General features: G+C 58.5%; 2 protein-coding genes and 1 long non-coding RNA gene across 17 annotated transcripts in view, besides 1 other annotated feature; 1 reads left to right on the top strand and 2 right to left on the bottom strand.

Moving 5' to 3' along the window:
* Positions 1–5,547, bottom strand: part of LDB3 (LIM domain binding 3) — a 69,285-nt gene extending 63,738 nt beyond the window's left edge. For 8 of the 12 annotated variants that reach the window (NM_001171610.2, NM_007078.3, NM_001368065.1 and 5 more), the window contains exons 1-2: positions 3,765–3,824; positions 3,551–3,666 (exon numbers count right to left, since the gene is read on the bottom strand). In NM_001171610.2, the coding sequence (NP_001165081.1) occupies positions 3,551–3,643 (93 nt within the window). In that variant the 5' untranslated portion in view covers positions 3,644–3,666; positions 3,765–3,824. Of the gene's footprint in view, positions 1–3,550; positions 3,825–5,486 lie in introns of those variants that run through there. The other 4 variants (NM_001368064.1, NM_001368063.1, NM_001368068.1 and 1 more) reach the window with 2 other exon arrangements.
* Positions 3,644–3,693: an enhancer, noted in NCBI's record as "active region_3695". NCBI's record gives its function as "activates an Ori minimal core promoter by ATAC-STARR-seq in GM12878 lymphoblastoid cells {active_cell/tissue: GM12878}" and the evidence as "EXISTENCE:reporter gene assay evidence [ECO:0000049][PMID:35858748]".
* LOC105378409 (uncharacterized) lies at positions 5,786–14,181 on the top strand. The gene is made up of 3 exons (XR_001747526.2): positions 5,786–6,104; positions 9,356–9,417; positions 14,041–14,181. It is a non-coding gene; the product is annotated as an uncharacterized LOC105378409 (long non-coding RNA).
* Positions 5,875–17,788, bottom strand: OPN4 (opsin 4). 4 transcript variants are annotated; one of them, NM_001030015.3, is made up of 11 exons: positions 17,408–17,788; positions 16,035–16,180; positions 15,108–15,140; positions 14,170–14,303; positions 13,648–13,851; positions 12,867–13,038; positions 12,276–12,440; positions 10,947–11,054; positions 9,903–10,083; positions 8,533–8,676; positions 5,875–6,622 (listed from the first exon to the last, which is right to left on the bottom strand). In NM_001030015.3, the coding sequence occupies exons 1-11, from the start codon at positions 17,549–17,551 to the stop codon at positions 6,584–6,586; spliced, it is 1,470 nt and encodes a 489-aa protein (NP_001025186.1). In that variant the 5' UTR covers positions 17,552–17,788; the 3' UTR covers positions 5,875–6,583. The 4 variants fall into 4 exon arrangements, with proteins under 4 accessions (NP_001025186.1, NP_150598.1, XP_016872444.1 ...); NM_033282.4 differs by lacking the exon at positions 15,108–15,140; XM_017016955.2 differs by lacking the exon at positions 5,875–6,622 and having other exon boundaries at positions 7,756–8,676.
* Between the last annotated feature and the right edge of the window lie 955 nt (positions 17,789–18,743).

The raw sequence follows: 18,743 nt of genomic DNA, 5'->3' as shown, positions 1-18,743 counted from the left end.
TGCTCCAGGTGAGCCTGCAGGCGGGGTGGCTGAGACCCTAGGAAGAGAGGGTTTCCAGTAGACAGGCAGGCCCCTCCTGGGCCCAGGCTCAGCCCCCGACTCCACCAGTCTCACAACCAGTCCCAGTAGACAACAGGTGGAAAGTTTTCACAAGTGCCTGTTAGAAAGAGCTCTCACAGGTGTGGAAGGCATCATTTTATTTGTTTATTTATTTATTTATTTTTAAGATGGAGTCTCACTCTGCCCCCAGAATGGAGTGCAGTGGTGCGATCTCAGCTCACTGCAACCTCTGCCTCCTGGGTTCAAGCTGTTCTCCTGCCTCAGCCTCTTGAGTAGCTGGGATCACAAGCATGTACCACCACACCTGGCTAATTTTTGTATTTTTAGTGGAGACAGGGTTTCACCATGTTGGCCAGGCTGGTCTCAAACTCCTGACCTCAAGTGGTCTGCCCCCTCGGCCTCCCAAAGTGCTGGGATTACAGGCATGAGGCACCGCGCCCAGCCTGCTATCCCCATTTTAAGGGTGAGAAAAACTGAGGCCGAGCAGGTAAACAGACTTCTGAGGTGACACAGCTGAGAGCAGCAGAGCCTAACAAAGCATACTCCTCTTCCCCAAGGCGGAGGCATGAGAGGCATGAAGAGGTGAGACCCCAGACCACAGCCCCAGCCTCTGGCCAGCTGCCAGGGCAGAGGCCTTTGGAGCTGCTCCCTCTCTGGGCTGCTCCCCCTTCTCCACTTCCTGGAGAACTGGCTGGGGTGGGGTGAAAGGGCAGCTCATGTTGCAGGCCCAGCCACACCTGTCCAGGATAAATAAAGGCATTTCCCCGCCACCCTCCTTTCCCAGTCTCCCTCTTGAACTCCCTTCTCTGTGGGTCTGCAAGCAGAGACCCTATGAAGGGATGCCTTGAGGGGCTGCTGCTGCCCCAAAGTTGCTGCCATGAGCCCCCGGGAGCCACCACCCAGCCTGCAGGTGGCCTGTGTCCTTCCAGGAGGAGCTGCAGCACACACCTGCAGCTGAGAGGGGACAGACCCTCCCCAGTGCCTCTCTATTAGTCCCAGTTAGAGGGGTGAGCAAGCCAGCATGGGAGTTAGGGGTGACAGGATACAGGAGATCCACCCATGGACATCCCTGTCCTGTGAGCAGACTCGAGCCTCAGTTTGCCAGGCTCTGAAGCGAGGTAACGATCCCAGCCTCGCCTGCCTGCCCACCCCACAGGGTCACACACTCTTGCCTCTGGTGCCCTATGGCACAGGCTCAGGTCCTGGCTGGGGTGGGAGTGGGGTTCCTCCAGAGAGCTCTGGCCATGCCTCCCCCGTAGGGGGATGTCCCTGGTGCAGAAGGGCCCTGCGAGCCCCGGCAGTAAATCCTACAGCCCTGGTGGGATGGCAGGGCTGTGTCCACAAGGCCTGCCCTGCCAGCGGCACTGAACCAGGACACAAGCCCAGGCTATCAGCAGCCTACCACCAAAATTTCTCAAGAGGCTCCGAGCCCTGGGGAAGGCTCCAGTACCCAGTCCAGCCTGCTCCGCGGCTTAGGTGATTTGGGGTATGCCCCTAAAGGAAGCCGAGAGGCCATATCATGCCCATCCCCCGGTGCCCTGCCCGAGCTTCGGGTTCTATTTTTAGAAGTCCCCACAGTCATTGGATCCAGCACATCCCTGCATACCCCCTCCCCAGAGTAAGGACATTCCTCCTGCTATCTAGCTTAAGGCTTCTGGGCTGCCATTTAAGCCCCTGGCTGGCCGGGGCCAGGTGGCACATAGACCCTGGGTGAGGTCATTGGCTATCCTGAGTGCCACTGAGCCCAGTGGCCAATTTGCACCCATAGGGATAGGGCAGGGAGCACCAGCAGGAGGCCTCGAGATGGTGGAGCTGGGGGAGATGTGGGCTCAGTCCCAGGCAGGGGAGGCCACAGGGCCCATGAGAGAGCACACAGAGGCTCCACCTTATACAGGAAGGAGTCCTGCAAGCATGGGGGTGGGGAGCTGTGGGAAAGGGCAGTGGGAAATCCACTGGGGCTCACATGCTCACAGGTCACCACCTCATGCAAAGTGTGCAAGGCTGTGGGTGCCCAGGACCCTGTGGTCTCCAGGGCAGTAGATCTGGAGGGGTGGAATCTCCAGGTTAGAACAAGCCACATCTGCAACTGAAGGATGGAGGTCAGGGCCTGTTCCCTGCACCAGAGCCAGGCCAGCACCCCTCCTGTAAGCATGTGGCCTCTATGGCTATTATAAGGCTCTCACGGCATCCCTGGGTGGGGCTTCTACTTCTGGGGTCCCCTCAAGTACCCGTGGAACAAAAAAAAGATTACTCCTCCACTGGGGGCATTGGCTCCTGACCCGCTGCCCAGGTTCCCTGGCCCCTCTGCCAAGCCCCTTCAGGCCTTGCCCACTTCAGTGCTTCCCCTCCAACCCCTTCCTCCAGCCCCCAGGCCCAAGGCAAGTCCTTAAGGCCCCAGAGAAGAAACTGTCCCCTTGTTCCCCTGGTGGGCAGTAGCCCAGATACCCCTGCCTACCTACCACCCTCCAGTGACAGACTGGGGGCCTCCCCCTCTGGCCTTGTGCCCGGAACAGCACGGTCAGGGGCTCAGCCACCAGGCAGGGTTGTCCTTGCCCTGTATGCCTCACAGTTCGCCCTGAGCCTTGGGGCCTTCAGCCCTGGGTCTACCAGTGCCTTGCTGGGGAGTCTCTTTGTTTGACAGAAACTGACGGAGTGCCTACTACGGTCTGGGGGCTGTTCCCCCATCAGTCCCTGCTCCTGGAGTGCTTCCTCAGGAGCATGGCTAACTTTCTGCCTCTCTGGTGTTGCTGTCTCCAGCCAGGCGGTAGAGTTACTCAGACAACCCCTGATGTTCTGTGTCATCTGCATCAGGCCATGCTGCTCCCCATCACAGACACTGCAGGATAGGGGGCCATCTCACCAGGCCCCAGCACTTGTGGGGAACAAGACCTGAGACAGACAAAGCAGCCATGGTGAATGGGGAGAAGCGCCCAGCCCCATGAGCCAGGGTCTTGGTGTCTCAAGTTTGGGATGGAGCAGGTGCCCAGTACTCAGTCCAGCCCAGCCCCACACTCTGACAGCTGGGCAGCCAAGGTCAACCGTCTGTCTGTCCATCTATCCAACTGCCCATCACCTGCCCTCTCCATGCTGGGAATACTCCCTTCCCAAAGCAGCTGCCCATATCTAGGGAAATGCTCAAGGCTTGGGGGCACCCTGAGCCCACTCTAACAGTAAAGGGATCAGGAAGGTGCTGTACTCTCTGTCCAGCTACCTGCCTGCCTGCCTGCCTGCCTGCCTGAAAACTCAGCATTTTCTTCTCTGCTAAAAACACCTACCACCTGCTCATGATGTCTCACATGCATAACAGGCCGGCGCGCTCCAGTGAGCAAACAGCTGTGGCTGAGACCAGAGGACCAGGCCAGTCCCAGGGGATGGGGCATGCTCTGCTTTCTGAGAGGCTCAGAAAGGACAGACAGACAGACGGACACACATGCCCTCCTCCAAGCGTGCCTGCCCCATCGGGTGCCAGGCTGTGGCAGGGTGCACTCACCCGGGAGATAGTGAGGGGCATGTTGAAGTCCTTGCCCCCCTGCAGACGGAAGCCCCAGGGCCCGGGCCCAGTCAGGGTCACACTGTAAGACATGCTGGTGCTGTCAGCGGCCGCCTCTGCAGACAAAGGGTAGAGAGGGTTGAGTGAGAGGGCACTCAGGCACTCCGCCTGCCCGGTCCACACCTCTGCCCCTGCCCCTGACCCCCAGCCTTGCCTGTTCTGTCCCTTGCTGCCCAGCCGGGCTGCGTGGAGCTCTTGAGAGGCTCCTAAGAATAGCTGGGAGCGAATGCCATCGACACTGATATCTGCCTTCGGCTGCGCCCATAAATGGACTGTAACCCTACACTGTGCCTGCCAGCCTGCCGCCTCCCAGCCGGTCCACCATGACTCACACGGCTAATATAGCCCCTGGGGAGGGGTGTCCGGCACCCAGCACCCCCCAGGGGGGAGGAAGGGGAACTGGCCTGGTTGGTGAGAATGCTCTGGTCTCCTTGCTCCTGTGTCCTCTGGAGAGCGTAGACACTCGCTCTTCCTGCCCAGTGGTACCCATCCTCTTGCTCAGAAGACCAGGGGCTGAGCTCCCTTGGGTAGGGGCTTTGCTGCCGTGTGGTCCCTGGCCAGGATTCTGGGGTTGTGCTTTATCCAGTATGGGGCCCTGGAGGTGCCTTGGCTTGAGCTGAGCCTCCAGCTGGTCTGTGACTGGCCCAGGGTTGTCCAGCCATAAAAACGATCATCATAACAGCAGCTCTGGGCATAGCCAACCTCAGTATGGGCCCTTCACTCCCTGGGATCCTGAGAAGCTGCCACCTGGGCCCGCAGGAGACAAAGCTCAGGGAGGTTAAATGACTTCTCCAAGGTCACACAAGGAGTGGACCCAGGTCACACTGGAGCCTGGGCTGATTCCTACAGAATGCATGCCAGATAATGGGCTCCCAGTAGCCACAGAAGCCTCCCAAAGCCCTGGTCCTGGGCAGCTGGCCCTCTGCCTGCACCCCTTGGCATAGGGTCTGAAAGCAGGTCTGAGGCAGGCCCATCCCCTCCAGACCCTCTGGGGGCCCAGCCAGTTATTCCTGGCTCTCCTGTCTTTGTGCTCTGGAAAACTTGACGGCAGCATGGAAAGCTCCAGCTGCCAGTGCCACACGCCAGGCCCCGTGCCCTTTGCGCAGGAATGGCAGGGGGCAGGGAGAAGGGAGGAGACGCCATTTGCTCAGCTGCTAGACACAGGGCCAGGAGGGGCAGGGAGGGGGAAGCACGTGTGGCATGTTCAGCCTGTACCCCAGAGACAGTGTGTTCTGGATGGGGGCCTCAGCACCTTGGGACTTCTGCCAGTGCGGTCTTTGGGCCAACCCCTTCCCCAAGAAAGACCTCAGGCCCCTATGTGGTCTGGAGATAGATCAAGGCCCACCCTGGCTCCTTGGTTGGAGAAACTGAGGCTCAGGGGAGGCAACTGGGTTGGCTGCTTGCTGGCCCTCTTGGAGGGGTCTGGCTTGGACCCTGAGGAGTCAGTAGAGGCCTGGGTGTGAGTCATTTCTCAGCTTCTAGCCTCACTCCTGGGGCCTGGCACATGCAAGGTACAAGGTAGGATCACCCATATTACGGGGTTGTTTTGTCACTTGCCCAAAGTCACAAAACTATCAAGTGGAAGAAGTCAGGAAAAGACCTGTGTCCTTTTCCCTGCTTAATCACTTCCTTCACCCTATATCATGCAGCCCAGCCCAGGAGGCCAGCAGTCCATGGCCAGCATCCCTTCCCCATACCATTCCCTATCCCTCTCTGCAAAGCCCCATGTCATTCATCCCTAACTCCAGCCTTATGCCCTTTCCTAGGGGTGTTTGTCCATCCTGCCAGGCTGGGGAGGACTCAGCAGCAGGGCATAACCAGTGTGGGAGAAGGAAGGCACCCACCCTCAGGGCCAGGGAGCTGGGGGAGGCTGTACCTGGAGCTGCACGCTGTCTCTCTGGCCTCTGGCTCCTGCCTGATGAAGCTCGCCTCTGGGGAAAGGGAGGGGTGGCAGGAGAGTGCTCTTAAAGGCGAAGGCCGGCCTCCCTCCATCCGCCTCCCTCGGGAGATGTGAAGCCAGTCAGAGAGCAGCTGGTACCCATGGTCTGGGCGGAGTTCAATGGCTCACTGGGGAGTGAGTGGGGATGGAGGCCAGCCTGGCCTTTGTCCCTTCTCTGCTGTACTCCTTGCAGTTTGAGGTGGGCCTCAGAGTGAGAGTCCCAAGAGTGGGGACAGAGGAAGGAGAGGAAGTGAAGTTGCTGGAGGCATCAGAGGCCAGGCCCTGGTTCTCTCTCCCATAGCAGCACCAACACGTAGAGACCATATTTGTCTGAAGACACCTTCTCCGCTTTTTATTTTCCTATACCCTGTCAGATCCACACAGCCCTGGGAGGAGCTTAGACCACTACATGAAATGAATCACAGACGCAGAGTGTGCACGCATGTGCTTGGTGTGCATTCAGATAGGTAACTACGCGAGAGCGTGCCTGCAAATGCCCGCGTGCACAAGAATGTGGGCCACAGTGGAACGGTACACTGGGGGAAGAAGCCACAGGTGAGTAACTGTTCCAGCGTGCAAAGGGAGGTCTGTGCTCGGCTTCAGCTGTTGGCAGTGGGAGATGCGGGGCTGGCCTTCCTATGCCAGTGACAGGCCCAGCCTGGGGGCAGAGGCTCATAAATAGCTGGTGTGTTCTCTGGAGCCATCACCATTGTCATCGCCTGGACAATTGCAGCACACAGCATTTGAGGAGAGGCAGACAACTCGGGAAGTGGGAGGGCCTGGGCACATACCCCTCAGGCTGAGCCTCGGGTGCGGCTGCTGAGCTGGAAAGTGGATGCGGAGGACGTTATGGGGCAGGAGTTTTGAGGTGTGGAGAGGGGCCATGGGGCTGGGGCTGTGAATCCCGTGCAGCACGGGTGACAGGGCCACTTCCAAAGCCTGCAGGCTCACAGCATAATCCTGGGTCTGTGTATATGAGGGAGACGTGGGGGGGCTGGATGTGTCTCAGAAGAAAGGGAGAGCCAGTGGGCGTCCTACATCCTGGGGTCCTGGCTGGGGATCAGCCCCTTGGTCTGCAAACAAACAGCACACATCTGTTTAGCTGAGGAGCAGTTCACTGGGGGCAGTCTCCCGATGACCCTCCACACACTGGGTCACCGAGCAGTGGGGGAGGTTGCATGGAAGGGCCAGGTTGTGTCCTGGGTCAGGGATGGGCCTTCCCAGAGTCCACATCCCAGAGTAAGAGCTGGTAACGCCTAACGCTGCCTACAGAGCATCTCCTGGGATGCTCCCCGGGCTCTTGACTCCCGGGGTCACAACTGAACCCATCCTCACCCCCACCATCCAATCCGCTCCTCTCTTCCACATGTGGAGACTCTGGCATCACCCCCGCTCCTGCTGTCCTTAAATGGGTCATCCCTTTCCTGCCCTGCAGCACTTCCTTCTTTGGTCTTCACCCTGCAAAGCTAACCAACCCCCTCCCAGGGCTTCCTGTCCCCAGGTCAGGTCTGGAGACACCTAAGCCAGTCCCTGATGGGGCCTTCCCACTGCTCCTACCACCTCCGCCTCCTCTTCCCTTCTCCTATGTCCCCCACTGCCAATCCCCAGGGTCCCTCTGGCTGCTCCCAGGGTCACAGAGAGACATCCTGTTCCAGGACATATTGAGCTCCCTCCCCTGTGCCCCTGTGTTTGCACAGTCACACAGGCTGTATCCTCATCCTGGACAGCTCAGTGCTCCCCCCACTCCCCACCCCTGCTGCCTGCAGATCCCTGCTTCACCTCTATCTTCCTGGGGAACCTCAGGGACTTGCCTCTGCTTTCAGTACCCTGCGTGCTCACACCTCAATGGCAGCGCTTATCACATGTGTTTGGTGATTGTTGATGGCTGCCCAGCAACCCCCCTGAGCCTATCCCTCCAAGACAGGCACTGTGTCTTTCATCAGTGCCTGGCCAGCCTGGGGGTCACTGCCAGGCCTTTGTCCTGGCGTTTATGGCATGCACAGTGCCTGGGCTCCAGGACAGGGTGCGGGGCCCCCGGGGGGAATGCTGAGGGAGGCTGAGGCTCCCCGACTGCAGGTACAGCCCAGGGCTTTCGTTCTTGGATGCACAGGGGCACAGCACTCAGGAAGAAAGGCAGGCAGGAATGTGCCTTTGGCCTTGGACTAGCTAGGGAAGCTGGAGAGAGCCCAGGAGCTGAGCTGAGGGTGTTGTGTGGGTGTGACAGGAGGGGCAGATGGGGAGCTGTCAGCTGGGGCGAAGGGCTGCTTGGGAGCCTGTGCACACGACATTTCCAGTGTTCCAGAATATGGCCTTCTCTAATCGCCATCAACATTCCGTTCCATAGGCACTTGGGCCGACAGCTGGCCTTCTTTTAATAGCCACAAGTATTCCGGGTGACATCCTGATCTTAGGGCATTTATGGTGAGCACATCCACAGCTTACAGCCCCTTCCTCCCCAGGTATGTCCAACCTCGCAGTCACACAGAGAGGTACATACCACCCACACTCAGTCACATGCACAGCTTAAAGCAGACACATTAGGGCATGCTTAGTCACGTGTCACTGGGTGTTACAGTGACAGAGCATGTGCCAGGTGCTACAGTGATGGAGCATGTGCTGGGCACATGGCCACACACATGCTCGAGCTATGCTCTGACGGCTGCAGACCTCCTACCCTCATCAACACACACATGTACTCTTATCATGCCACAGCACAGCCAACAGCACCATGCAGAGTCAGAGTTGCATGATCACACACACACACACACATGTGCAGACCATATGCAGGCCCTGCTCAGAGCATCTCAGAGTCACAGAGAACCCCAGGCAGACAAGGAAAAGCTGGGAGGTGCTGGGAGCAGGTGATTCCTGGAGGATATCGCCCCTGCCCATGAGAACAAGTCTCTCTTTCCTGGCCTCTCCCTGGGCTACTGGCCCCTAACCCCCACCCCTTTGTGGATTGGCAGGTACCGGGCCCAGTCACCTTCCCTGGAGTCTCTGCTTCGTGTCCCTGGGGTCTGGGGGGTGCCTTGGCTTCCAAGTCCTCCAGACCCTGACCGTAGAGGGACCGCCCATTTGCTTGCTGGGCAGCTCCCCACACAGCTGCTGCCTCCATGTGTGTCCAGCCCTGAGGGAGGTGAGAGAGTGACTGTGAGGTGAGAGGGACAGTCCGTAGCTTTGCTCCTGCCCTTACCCCACCAGGCCCTCCTTCATCCTCCCAACAGGTATTCATTGCGGGAGGCCCCTGACACCATTTGCACCGTTGCCGGTCACCAAATAAACCCCGTAAATTGTGCATGCCTGTCCTAGGGTGTGTGTATGTGTGTGCAGGTTTGCTCCCCATCTGCACACCGGCACACCTTGCTAAGAAAGTGGCTATTTATATTTTTGAATAGATGGGTGGTCTTCACGAGGGTCTAGGCCTCCAATAACAGATTAGATTTCTCCTTGTTATTCACTACAGTGGTTTACAGGAGGGACCTCTGACAGCTCCTCTCTCAGTCCCTCAACCGAGAACCCCAGGGATGTGGGCAGTGGGAGGAGATCGCTGGCCGGTCAGTTGGCGGCAGTCTTGCTGAGGCCCATAGAGGGCTCTGTAGGTAGAATTAAGGAGGAGCCCAAGTGTGGTGGGAACAGGAGCCGGTGGCGCACGGAGCTTTCCTGGGGACATCTAGGGGAAGCAGAGCTGCAGGCCCTGAGGAGGGCTGACACCCATCCCTGGGCACACCTGGCCCCGAGGAAGGTTGACACCCATCCCTGGGCACACCTGGACAGCGTTGATCTGAGAAGCCTCTTTTCCCTTTCAGAGGAGGACGTGGAGCCTCAGAGGGAGTAAGTGACCTGCCCAGGCTCCCACAGTGAGCACATGGTAAGCTGAGGCTCAAAGCCACATCTCCCATCTCCAGGGCCCATGCCCATCCCGTGAGCTCTTCAAGTCTCCCAGGAGGAGGGGGCTTAATGCTGAGGAGCAAGGAGCTCCAAGCTAACTCCTGCCTTGTCTCTCTGGAGCCCTATCTAGAGCCAGATGTGCTGATCTCTTCAGGCTGCGGCTCTAGGGAGAGTGTCAGCATGGAAAAGGATGGCCTGGAGTTGGAAGACCTGTGTTCAATCCTGGCCCCGCTCCTGGGAACCCCCAAACCATCCCCGCTCTGGCCCTAGTGCCCCTGCCTATCAGGGAGGATTACGAACTTCATGGGGGTGTTGGGAGGGGCTCTTCCTGCCAGGGTGCCAGCGTCCTCAGTGTCCCTGAGTCTCAGAGGCAGCCCTGCCAGGGCCTATGTATTCCCCAGAGCCCCAGGGCTGCCTGAGGAAGGGATGGCCAGGCGCAAGCTGGTGAGGGCCCAGCATCCTTACCACCTCACTCTCCGAGCCCAGGGACTCCTGGCGCCTCCGTATGGAGATCCAGCTGAGGTTGGAGGTGTGGCTGGTCAGCGTGGAGCGGTGGGTGGAGCGGTAGCTGGGGTAGGGGCGACTGTGCCGGCGTGATACACCCAGCAGCACCCCCAGGCAGGGCAGGTGCTGGGCAATGGCCACCCTGCAGGGGCCGCACATCTGATTAGGGCCAGGGGATGGGCAGACAGATGCAGGGGAGGGGATGGGTGCACAGGCTGGTACAGGCCTAATGTGCGGTGACCGAGAGCCTCTGGGGAAATGGGGAGGCTCAGACCCTGGGAACCATGGCAGGTGATGAGGACAGAAAGACAGATGCTGGGTGGGGAGATTGAGAGGCTCACAAGGCTGGTGGGAGGGACAGAGAGATTCTGGGTGGTAGGCATGCAGGGAGAGCCTGGGGATGTTGGTTCCAGCCCTCAGTGGCTGGCTCAAGCCACATCTCTGGTAATGGAGACCAGGGACACTCTGGAGCAGCCTCTGTGCTGGACGGGCTCAGGCCTGCCACTGGCCTTGGGAAGGTGGTGAGTGACTGACATCACCAGGCAAAAGGAAGCACTAAGGGAGAAGCAGCCTTGCCGGGTTGCTATCAGCATGCATACTGGCCCAGAGCCACCCCAGGCTCCTGCCAGGCCCTGGGAGCAGAGCTGAGCTCTCCCTGCTGTGATTTCTTCAGGATGACACTGTCGGGGAGGGCGGGGCGGGGGGGTGCTTAAATTCACAGGGCTGTCCTGGCTGCCCTACACGCCAGGTCTGAAGGTCCCATAGTTAGGACTGGACACTGCCCAGGGAACCCTGACCTCCCTCCACACCGTGACCCCTGGGAAGCTGGGGCGGGGGAGGGAGGCACACCAACTCCAGACCCCACTCAGTGTCATTGGCCGCTCCCAGCTGCTGGTGGCCCCCATTCTACACACACACGAGAGACAGAAAGGTGGTGGCCTCTGCCCCCATCGGCAGGCCAGGCCCTTGGAGGCCAAGGTGTGGGGTTCTGGAAAAGAGCCACACCTGTACTTGGGGTGGGTGATGGCGTAAATGATGGGGTTGTGGATTGCAGAGGCCTTGGCGATGACGGCTGGCACCGAGCTCATGTAGGGTGTCAGGACGTGTGCGTACCTAGGACAGAGAAGGTGTGGTCCCCAAGCTAGCTGGCCCTCCTGACACACCTTCTCTTCTGGGCCAGGCCCTGCCAAAGCCCAAATCCTAATCCAGCCCAAACCAGCACAGCTAAGTCAGCCCCATAGGGAGGAATTGGCAGTGCCAGGATAATTTTTTTTTTTTTGCTCTGTCGCCCATGCTGGAGTGGCAGTGGTGTGATCTCAGCTCACTGCAACCTCTGCTTCCTGAATTCAAGCAATTCTTCTGCCTCAGCCTCCGGAGTAGCTGGGACTACAGGTGCCCGTCACCACACCTGGCTAATTTTTGTATTTTTAGTAGAGACGGGGTTTCACCATTTTGGCCAGGCTAATCTCGAACTCCTGACCTCAGGTAATCCACTTGCCTTGGCCTCCCAAAGTGCTGGGATTACAGGCGTGAGCCACCATGCCTGGCCTATGCCAGGAGAATTCTGATCTGAGTGAGTAGGAGGGAGCAGTGGGTGGTTGAGGGTGCAGCTCTGGAAGGAAGATGTGCCGAATTTGGGGTGGAGGTTCCCAGGTCCACTGTTCCTTGGAGCCTGTGCTGCTGGCGATATCCCACTTCCCCCCATTGACTCTGGCCCTTGCACCCTCTGCCTAGCTCTTCTCACACCCCACCCCAACCGTGATGCCCTCTCTTGCCCTGGCTATTGTAGAGAAACCCCACAGTAGGGCCCTGGGGGGACCAGGCCATTCCTCCACAAGAAGGTCTCCTATCTAAACACTTCCAGGGTTTAATAGCCCTCACTTCTCAAAAACACTTCTGAAGTTGAGCATGCATCTGTGCTGCTGCAGATGTCACAATCCCCAGACTCTAGCCACAAAGGGCTAGAAGGGCAGCTCTCAGGGACCCATTCCTGGAGATGGGCAGCACCTCTGGTCATGTAACCACAGCCCATGCAGAGAGGGAGGAGACCTCAAGAGGAACTGTGTGTTCCAAAGGGGGCTGGCAGGCCGTCCGCCCAAAGCTTTGTGGGGCCCAGAGCTCCTCTGCATGTGCCCTGGTGCTTCCAGGAACTAGGTGGCCCCCCACCCACCCCGGGGCTGGGCACCTTACCCAGGGAGAGAATAAGCTGTGAAGCTGGTCCTAGGGTGCGAGGATGGCTGGCCGGGGTTGGGCTGGGAAGGAGAGGCTGGCCAGGCTTCTTGCTCCTGCCCCCACACCTTCAGCCTCTTCCCCAACCCTTTAGCCACTGCTTACCCAGCAAAGGCCACCAGGGCCACAGCGGAATAGGGAGCCCAGGAGAGCACGAAGAGGAGGATGACCAGCAGCATGATCTTGGCCATCTTGCACTCGCTCTGCAGCCGCTGCCGCTGCCACAGGGACTCGCCATTGCCCTTGCAGGCCCCGAAGGTCTGGAGAGCCCTAGGAAGGACGCATCGTCCAGGTCTGACCCTAGTCGGGTGGCAGTCAGCACCAGGGTCACGGCTGCTGTTGGGGAGCCTCTCTGGACTATCCTTGCAGGGCACTCGTGAGAGTGTCATTCCTTCCAGTGCAGGCAGCCCTGACTTCCAGAAAGTTTTCTGTGACATGAGGTCTCAGCTGCCCCCTACTCCCTCTTGATTCTGTGTGCCTTCTCTCCTCCCTCTGCCATGCCGAAAAGCCCGCCCCAGAAGCCCTTGTCTCCTGAGGCTCCCCTAGACACTGCTGCCCCATAAGCACTTGCTCAGCTTGCCTTCACCCACTGGTCATGCTCTGGTAGGCTGGTGCAGGTGTGAGTGGTGGGGCAGGGGCCGCCTGGCCGAGGGGCCGGTCCCCCTCCTGTAGCCCCCCTCCATGCTCGGCTCTTACCGTCCTGTCTCCCGGATGGCCCTGAAGATGAAGATGTAGCAGTAGATGATGATAAGCAGAGGGAGGAAGAACACGAAGCAGCAGAGAAGCATGGTGTAGGCACGCACGGCCGGCGTGAAGCTCATGTAGTCCCAGGAGCAGGATGTCAGCAACCCCTCGGGCACGTAGGCGCCTGGGAGCCAGGGCAGGTGCTCAGCCTTTGGGGCGGCACTGACCACGGCTCCTTATCTGGCAGGAGCTTTGTATGTGGCATTCGGGTCCCCATACACAGCCCTGGCCCTGACCTGGCCCTGTCCCATGCAGTGAGGAAGCTGGAGGGAACTGGGATGGCCTGCAAAGCCCACTGCCTCCCATTCCTGCTAGATTTGAGCAGAAAGCTCACCATAACTTCAAGGTTTTGCTTGCCAGGGCTTCAGCCAGAGGCCTGGTCTTACCCCAGGAGGGCTACTACCTTGCTCTCCACCGTTCCACCTTCAGAGTCCTCACACCCCAGCCCCCTGCCTAGTCTGACACAGCATCAGAAGTACCTGTCACTTTGCCCCGCCCAGAAAGCCTTTGTATTTTGGGATCAGTTGCCCAGGAGATCCTTTGGCCCCTGATGGGGCAGTGTCAGTTTCCCTTGCTGCCAGTCATGTCCCCTGAATGTCCATCTCACCTGAGGCTCAGGTAGCTCCTGGGCACCCTGCTCCCGCCAGCTGGCTGACCCAAGTCCACCTACTTCCCCTTGAATGTGCCCCTCCCAGCCCATCTGCCCCCCTTCCAGTTCCAGCAGCCCACTTACTCCAGCCGAAGAAGGGTGGCAGACTCCAGGCCAGGGCATAGAGCCAAACGCCCAGCAGGACAAATGCCGCACGCCTCTTGGACGCCACACCAAAGGTGGCCAGCGGGCGTGTGATTACCAGGTAGCGGTCCAGGGCGATGGCCGTCAGGGTGATCATGGAGGAAATGCCAAAGAGAGCTCCACAGAAGGCATAGAACTCGCAGCCTGTGGGCACAGCCCCTGCTCTGAGTCCTGGGGAGGAGGGTCTGGGGACAGGGTAGACTCTGCTCTGGCCTTCACCTCACAGGAAGAGCAGGACTGAGCGCACTCCACCCCCTCCACCTGCCACATCTGGCCAAGGCTGGCAGAGGCCTTAGGACCAACACTGCATCTTCCCTTCTTGCTTACTCACAGGACTGAGGGCAGCTACCCACTCTCTGCCCAGAAGCAGCAAATCACCTCCTTTGGGCCACCCTCCATTGAGGGCATCCCCAGGTCAAAACCCTCCTCCTCCCTCCAGCAAAAGGGAGCCCCAGCATCTACCTGTCTCCCCAAAGAGCCACTGCTTATAGAGGCTACTGGTGAAGAAGACAGGGGCCTGGGTGAAGGACATGAGGAAGTCGCTGACCGCGAGGTTGATAATGAACATGTTGGCAGGTGTCCGGAGGCTTCTGCTCCTGGGAGGATCAGAAGCTGTTAGGAGGCGCTTCCTGACACCTCCAGAGCTATGGAGAGCTTCCCGCACCCCTCAGGTATGCATGTGCACACACGTGCCACACACTTACACATGCACACACACATGGGCAAGCAAACAGGCACGAGCTGCCGGGCCACAGAGCTATCCCACTGTCGGGCAGGGACCAGCCAAGCAGCTGTTGAACCCAGCAGTGTCTGCTGAGTGAGGACCCCAAGACGGCTCCCTCAGAGAGAAGCAGGGGGCAGTTTCTCTCCAAAACCTGAGGCGTGGCCCAGCGCAGGCCGGTTCTTGGGTCATGTCCGTTTCCTCTTCTTGCCCTCTAAATTCCTCTGCACGACTCACACCATTTCCTTGACCAATTCACTGGTTTCCTTGAGTCCCTCTAGGCCAAGGTCTCCCTAGAGGTTTCTCCCTAGGTTCCTCCTCCTGCGTGCCCTGACTGTGCTTTCCCATGGCTTCTCACGCTTCCCTCCTCCGCGGGTCCCCCTCCCACTCTCCCTCCAGTGTCACGTCCTGCCTGGACCCTGCCCTGCACACTGTCTCTGTAATCCTCATGCTTGGGGATGGCCAAGGGCAGAGGAGCTGATGGCTGTGCACCACGGCCGGGCCAGGCACTTTCACCAGCCTCGGCTCCTGTCATCATCCATCTTTGCATCTACCCTGAGGGAGGCGTCATTGTCCCCATTTTCCAGACAAGATGCTCCCACTCATGAAGTGACTTGCTCCGGTGCACAGCACTCAGTAAGTGGCTCATCTGTGGGGCAACGCACATCCGTGAACTTACTGCATCATCACAGTGACTCCACGAAGCACAGCTCTGTTTTGCGGAAAGAAAAGTGAGCTCAAGGAGGAGAAATGACGTGCCCAGTCCTTCAGCTGGCAGGTGGGAGAGCCAGGGGGCTGTGTGGCCCTGCAGCCTGGGTTCCCTTCTCCACCTGCCTGTCTCAGCCACTGAGCCAGGCAGGGGGGCAGATGGAGAGGGACACTGGGGGTGGGTGTCAGGGGTGTTTGAGGGACTTGAGGATGCTGGTCCCCAGGGCTGCTCTTTTTTTTTTTTTTTTTTTTTTGAGATGGAGTCTTGTTCTGTTGCCCAGGCTAGAGTGCAGTGGCATGATCTCGGTTCACTGCAAACTCCGCCTCCCAGGTTTAGGCGATTTTCCTGCCTCAGCCTCCCAAGCAGCTTGGATTATAGGCACACACCACCACACCTGGCTAATTTTTGTATTTTTAGTAGAGACGGGGGTTTCACCACATTGGCCAGGCTGGTCTCGAACCCTGATCTCAGGTGATCTGCTCGCCTTGGCCTCCCAAAGTGCTGGGATTACAGGCGGGAGCCACCACGCCTGGCCTAGAGCTGCTCTTCAACGCAGGGGGAGGATGCTCTCTGGGGCAGGTGACGGAGAGGTGCGCTGAGAGCAGGGCAGAATGGTCAGAGACCCACATACTCTGGGCACACACACCCTCCACAGAGGATGCACCTGGGTCTCAATTAGTGCCAGTCAGTCAAGTCTCCCTGGACCATTTTTGGCCCTTTCCGTGACCTTCAGGAAGGTCTGGGCCTGAGATCATCGAAGGCATGGCCCTGCCCTCCTTGCCTAGCCTCAACAGTGCCCTGGCCAGAGCTAGAGTCAACATTCCTGCCTGCATTTTCTTCCCTGTCTGCATGGCTGCCACCCTCAGTGCCCTGGGCCCAGCACCACCAACCAGGCACCTGCAGAAGGTATAGATGACCGTCAGGTTGCCCAGCATCCCCGTGAGTCCCACCAGCAAGATCACTGTGCCCAGGGTATAGTGGGCATGGTCTGGAACATCAACCGTGGGGAGGGGGACCCAGGCAGCAGCCCAAGTCCCAGGTGCCTGCGGAGAGACAGAGAAACGAGGGAATCATGTTATCGCTTGTCACCTTCAAATAGTCCTGAGAAGGAAGAGTTAGGATTCTCAACAGGGCAGGTGGGAAAACTGAGGCTCAGAGTGGCAAAGCCAGTTGCACACACAGCTCACAAGTGGCCAAAAGCAGAAGGGAAGTGCAGGTCCTTTCTAAAGTCCAGCCCAAGCTCCTAGAACATGGCACAGGGGCCTTCTAGGAGTGGGCTCAGATCACCTGCTGGAGGCTGGTAGGACAGACAGACATGTGACTGGCAAGCAGGGACATGGCCCTGGTCACCCTATCTTTCCTTAGGGAGAAGACAGAGCCAACTCCTGGGTGCATCCCTGCCTGCAGTATGGACTCCAGCCCAAGGGCCCAAGACAGTTTTTGAGGCCTCTAGACGCTGGGGTGGTGAGTCGGGTGGAGCCCCTCTCAAGAGTCCCGTCCCCTACTGAGCCTTAGAGGAGAAGCTGCATTGCCCAATAGCATAGCTGGGTACAGCTAACCTTGATGCCTGGCATGAAAATGAAGGGAATTCCCTTTAGAAAGAAAGCTTAGGCCTCCCAGGGTCACTGAAGGGAGGTCATGACCATATCAGGTCAGGACAAAGGGATTTAAAGACTCCTCCCACCCTAACCCCTTTCTGGGGAAGAGAGGGTGGCTTGGTCTCTGTCCTGCCGCAGTGGCCCCTATAGCTACCGGAGCCTTCCCATCCTGTCCAGCACCTGGGCCAGCATCCCCAGGTCCTGAGGGTGCCCTCGGCCTTCCCCAGGTAGCAGTGGTGTTGATGGAATATGGCCCTGGGCCTGGGCTAGGATGATGGAGGTGGCAGAAGGCACCCAAGGCTTCACTGTGGGCTTGGCAGATCCAGAGGCCCAGGGTGTGCCCTCCTCCCTGGAGGGCTCCATGGGGCATCCGAGCAACCTCTGAAAGGAATGAGTGCAGCCAAGGACAGGTCTGGCCATTCCAGCCCCTTGTCCTCAGGGCTGGCATTTCTGTTCCTTGAATGCTCTCCATGAGGAAGGACATTGCCTGCACCCTCCTCTATCAGCCTGTTTATCAGGGGCGGGCTCAGAGAGGTCCAGTAATGGCTCAAGGCCCCACAGCAGAGTTCAGACCTTTTCTATCTCCCTGTCAAAGCCCCTGTGTGTGGCCAGGAGGGGACCAGGAAGGGGTCAGGGAAGGCTCTGTGCATGCACATGCTCGCCCAGGCTTACTGTGGGACTGATGGATGGAAGCCGGCCCAGGCTGGAGATGCTGCTCTGGGAGCTGTCCCACCAGCTGGGTGGTGCTGGGGTGGCCATGCAGCTGGGCTCTTGGGTTGGGCTGGGCGGGACTCTTGGCCCCGAAGGAGGGTTCATCCTGAGTTGGGATGGTCCTTGCTCGAGCCCACAGAGAAGTCAAGGGCACAGGGAGCTCAGGACTTCAGCTGTGCTCAGCCTCCCAACTTTCCTCCATCCTCAGCACCCCTGCTTAGCCTACCCGCTGCTTTCTCCTGTGTCCGGCGCAGATCCAGCCTGGAGCTGCTCTTGGGGCTGGCGGTTGCTCTGTGTCTGGTGAAGCGCAAATGAGTGAGTGTCGCAGTTATGGTGACTCACAGCCACAGAGTTCATCCCCATCTTTATATAGCGATGTGGGAGCTGCACATGCTCAGTCGCTCCATGCCGCCAGCTCACTCAGACCAAGGTCTCTGGGTGTCTATCTACGAAGGTCTGATGATGGTGGCGTGAATGTGTATGTGTGAGTGTGTGTGTGTGTGTGTGTGTGTTTCAAGGGAGACTTCTGGAATGATGGTGGCATGAATGTGTGTGTGAGTGTGTGTGTTTCAAGGGAGATTTCTGGATGATGGTGGTGTGAATGTGAGTGTGTGTGAGTGTGTGTGTGTGAGTGTGTGAAAGTGTGTGTTTCAAAGGAGACTTCTGGGATGATGGCGTAAATGTGTATGTGAGTGTGTATGTGTTTCAAGGGAGATTTCTGGGATGGTGTCATGAATGTGTGCGTGTGTGTGTGTGTGTGTGTGAGGGTTCGTGAGTGTGTGTGTTTCAAGGAAGATTTCTGGGATGGTGTTGGGAATGTGTGTGAGTGTGTGTGTGTGTGAGTGTGTATGTGTTTCAAGGGAGATTTCTGGGATGATGGTGGTGTGAATGTGTATGTGTGTGAGTGTGTGTGTTTCAAGGGAGATTTCTGAGCTGACAGTGGTGTCAATGTGTGAGTGTGTGTGCATGTGAGTGTGTGTGAGTGTGAGTGAGTGAGAGCATGTGTGTGTGTGAGAGTGTGTGTGAGAGTGTGTGTTTCAAGGGAGATTCCTGGGCTCGGGCTCTTGGACATTGGGCAGAAGGCTGTGTCCTCTCCTTTGACCAGTCTCTGTTGTGTTTCTTCCCTGAGCTCATCAAGAGCAGCCTCAGCCATCCCAAGAGCCCCCAGAGCTGTTTGTGGGCAGCTGAGCCTGTGCAGCCCAGCCTCACCCTTGTCACAGTGGGCCCTACCACCATGTTTGGCCCCCATGAGCCATGGCATTTTCACAGTCACCCTGCATAGAACCAAGGCTGGTCA

Source organism: Homo sapiens, chromosome 10, assembly GCF_000001405.40.
Source record: "Homo sapiens chromosome 10, GRCh38.p14 Primary Assembly".
Taxonomy (NCBI): Eukaryota; Metazoa; Chordata; class Mammalia; order Primates; family Hominidae; genus Homo; species Homo sapiens.
The sequence above is the reverse complement of the archived record's forward strand: the minus strand, read 5'-3'. Positions and strand labels throughout refer to the sequence as shown.

What these genes read in the sequence shown, in the direction of transcription:
- OPN4 (XM_017016955.2), bottom strand. Translation starts at nt 17,551, where the DNA reads ATGAACCCTCCTTCGGGGCCAAGAGTCCCGCCCAGCCCAACCCAAGAG. An exon ending in GTCATCTATACCTTCTGCAG is followed by an intron (nt 15,141 to 16,034) that starts GTGCCTGGTTGG and finishes TCCGCAAAACAG; the next exon opens with AGCTGTGCTTCGTGGAGTCA. An exon ending in GTGGCTCTTTGGGGAGACAG is followed by an intron (nt 13,852 to 14,169) that starts GTAGATGCTGGG and finishes CTGTGCCCACAG; the next exon opens with GCTGCGAGTTCTATGCCTTC.